Genomic DNA, 4,184 nt, shown 5'->3' with positions numbered 1-4,184 from the left:
TGGAACACCTGGACAAGCAATTTCTTTGTGACCACTCAGAAATAGGAATGGTTACCTTCTTCCTCCTCCTCCGCTTCTCTTCCTTCTCTTTCTCTTTCTTATCTTTATTCTCTCTATTTTCTCCCTTTAACCTTTAATATCCAAACTTAGTTTTATTATTTGTTGTTTTGCAGTTGCTTTTCTTTTTTATTTTTTACTTTGTAATTTTAGGCTTACAGAATAGTTACAAAATAATACAAAAAGCTCCCATATACCTTTCACCCAACTTCCGCTCACATTAGTATAATTATGGAAACTTAGAAATTAATATTGATACAATACTATTAACTAAACTAAAAACTGTATCCAGATTTCACAAGTTTGTCCACTAATGTTTGTTTTGGTTTAGGATTCCACATTGCATTTAAATGTCAGGTCACCTTTGTCTCCTCCAATCATTTCCTCAGTCTCTCCTTGTCTGACCTTGATAATTTTGAAGAGGTTTGATTACTTATTATGCAGAATAACTTTAGGTTTGGGCTTACCTAAAGTCTTGCATGATTATATGAAAGCTATGCATTTGTTTTTGGAGGTTTGTCAAGACGACAAGAGACATGACATGACCTCATTTTGTCATATCAAGAATTACATAGTGTTGACATGTCTTATCTCTTGGTTAATATGTTTTTATCACTTGGTGCCTACTTCTCTCTTTGTGATTAATAGTTTGGTGGCAGATACTTGAGACTATGCAAATATCTTGTTTCTTTTCAAATTTTGCCTATAAATTTTAGCATCCTTTTGTGGACCTTTCTTGCAACAGTTATTTTGGTGTTCTAATGGTGTTTGGAGCTGAATTATTATTATTATTATTATTATTATTATTATTATTATTTTACTTTAGGTTCTGGGATACATGTGCAGAACTGAAGGTTTATTATATAGGTATACATGTGCCATGGTGGTTTGCTGCACCCATCAACCCATCATCTAGGCTTTAAGCCCTACATGCATTAGGTATTTGTCCTAATGCTCTCTCTCCCCTTGCCCCCCATCCCCCAAGAGACCCCAGTGTGTGATGTTCCCCTCTCTGTGTCCATGTGTTCTCATTGTTCAACTCACAATTGTGAGTGAGAACATGCAGTGTTTGATTTTCTGTTGCTGTGTTAATTTGCTGAGGATGATGGTTTCCAGCTTCATCCATGTCCCTGCAAAGGACATGAACTCATTTTTTTTATGGCTGCATAGTATTCCATGGTGTATATGTGCCACATTTTCTTTATCCCGTCTATCATTTATGGTCATTTGGGTTGGTTCCAGGTCTTTGCTACTGTAAATAGTGCTGCAATTAAACATACGTGTCTTTACAGTAGAATGATTTATAATCCTTTGGGTATATACCCAGTAATGGGATTGTTGGGTCAAATGGTATTTCTGGTTCTAGATCCTTGAGGAATGGCCACACTGTCTTCCACAATGGGTGAACTAATTTACACTCCCACCAACATTGTAAAAGCATTCCTACTTCTCCACATCCTCTCCAGCATCTGTTGTTTCCTGACTTTTTAATGATCATCATTCTAACTGGTGTGAGTTGGTTTTGATCATTGTGGTTTTGATTTGTATTTCTCTAATGACCAGTAATGATGAGCTTTTTTTCATGTTTATTGGCCACATAAATGTCTTCTTTTGAGAAGTGTCTTTTCATATCCTTTGCCCACTTTTTGATGGGGTTGTTCTTTTCTTGTAAATTTGTTTAAGTTTCTTGTAGATTCAGGATATTAGACCTTTGTTAGATGGGTAGCTTGCAAAAATTTTCTCCCATTCTGTAGGTTGCCTGTTTATTCTGATGATAGTTTCTTTTGCTGTGCAGAAGCTCTTTAGTTTAATTAGATCCCATTTGTCAATTTTGTCTTTTGTTGCAATTGTTTTTGGTATTTTAGTCATGAAGTCTTTGCCCATGCCTATGTTCTGAATGGTATTGCCTAGGTTTTCTTCTAGGGTTTTTATGGTTTAAGGTTTTAAGTTTAAGTCTTTAATCCATCTTGATTAATTTTTGTATAAGGTGTAAGGAAGGGGTCCGGTTTCCGTTTTCTGCATATGGCTAGCCAGTTTTCCCAACACCATTTATTAAATAGGGAATCCTTTCCCCATTGCTTGTTTTTGTCAGGTTTGTTGAAGATCAGATGGTTGTCGATGTGTGTTATTTCTGAGGCCTCTGCTCTGTTCCATTGGTCTATATATCTGTTTTGGTCCAGTACCATGCTGTTTTGGCTACTGTAGCCTTGTAGTATACTTTGAAGTAAGGTGGTGTGATGCCTTCAGCTTTGTTCTTTTTGCTTAGGATTGTCTTGGCTATACGGGCTCTTTTTTGGTCCGATATGAAATTTAAAGTAGTTTTTTCCATTTTGTGAAGAAACTCAGTGGTAGCTTGATGGGAATAGCATTGAATCTATAAATTACTTTGGGCATTATAGCTATTTTCACAGTATTGATTCTACCTATCTGTGAGCATGGAATTTTCTTCCATTTGTTTGTGTCCTCTCTTATTTCCTTGAGCAGTGGTTTGTAGTTCTCCTTGAAGAGGTCCTTCATGTCTCTTGTAAGATGTATTCCTTGGTATTTTATTCTTTTTGTAGCAATTGTGCATGGGAGTTCACTCATGGTTTGGCTCTCTGTTCGTCTATTATTGGTGTGTAGGAATGCTTGTGATTTTTGCACCTTGATTTTGTATCCTGAGACTTTTCTGAAGTTGCTTATCAGCCTAAGGAGTTTTTGGGCTGAGATGATGGGTTTTCTAAATATACAATCATGTCATCTGCAAAGAGAGAAAATTTGACTTCCTCTCTTTCTATTTGAATTCCTTTATTTTTTTCTCTTACCTGACTGCCCTGGCCAGAACTTCCAATACTATGTTGAATAGGAGTGGTGAGAGAGGGCATCCTTGTCTTGTGCCAGTTTTCAAAGGGAATGCTTCCAACTTTTGCCCATTCAGTATGATATTGGCTATGGGTTTGTCATAAATAACTCTTATTATTTTGAGATGTGTTTTATCTATACCTATTTTATTGAGAGTTTTTAGGATGAAGGGGTGTTGAATTTTATCAAAGGCCTTTTCTGCATTTATTGAGATAATCATATGGTTTTTGTCATTGGTTCTGTTTATGTGATGGATTATGTTTATTGATTTGCATATGTTGAACCAGCCTTGCATACCAGGGATGAAGTCGATTTGATCGTGGTTGTTAAGCTTTTTGGTGTGCTGCTGGATTCAGTTAGCCAGTATTTTATTGAGGATCTTCACATCAATATTCATCAGGGATATTGGCCAGAAATTTTTTTGTTGTTGTGTCTCTGCCAGGTTTTGGTATCAGAATAATGTTGGTCTCATAAAATGATTTAGGGATGAGTCCCTCTTTTTGTATTGTTTGGAATAGTTTCAGGAGGAATAGTACCACCTCCTCTTTGTACCTCTGGTAGAATTCGGCTGTGAATCTGTCTGGTCCGGGGCTTTTTTGTGGTTGGTAGGCTATTAGTGCCTCAATTACAGAATTTGTTATTGGTCTATTCATGGATTTGACTTCTTCCTGATTTAGTTTTGGGAGGGTGTATGTGACCAGAATTGATCCATTTCTTCTAGATTTTCTAGTTTATTTGCATAGAGGTGTTTAGATTATTCTCTGATGGTAGTTTGTATTTCTGTGGGATCAGTGATGATATCCCCTTTAACGTTTTTTATTGTGTCTATTTGATCCTTCTCTCTTTTCTTCCTTATTAGTCTGGCTAGTGGTCTATTTTGTTAATCTTTTCAAAAAATCAGCTCCTGGATTCATTGCTTATTTGAAGGGTTTTTCATTTCTCTATCTCCCTCAGTTCTGCTCTGATTTTAGTTATTTTTTGTCTTCTGAAAGCTTTTGAATTCATTTGCTCCTGCTTCTCTAGGTTTTTTACTTTGATTTTAGGGTGTCAATTCTAGATCTTTCCCACTTTCTGATGTTGGCATTTAGTGCTATAAATTTTCCTCTTATCACTGCTTTAGCTGTGTCCCAGATATTCTGGTAAATTTTCTCTTTGTTCTCGTTGTTTTCAAAGAAATTATTAATTTCTGCCTTAATTTTGTTATTTACCCAGTAGTCATTCAGGAGCAGGTTGTTCAGTTTCCATATAGTTGTGCAGTTTTGAGTGAGTTTCTTAATCCTGAGTTC

The sequence above is a fragment of the Homo sapiens genome, chromosome 17, assembly GCF_000001405.40.
Source record: "Homo sapiens chromosome 17, GRCh38.p14 Primary Assembly".
Lineage (NCBI taxonomy): Eukaryota > Metazoa > Chordata > Mammalia > Primates > Hominidae > Homo > Homo sapiens.
This window is presented reverse-complemented; position numbering follows the sequence as displayed.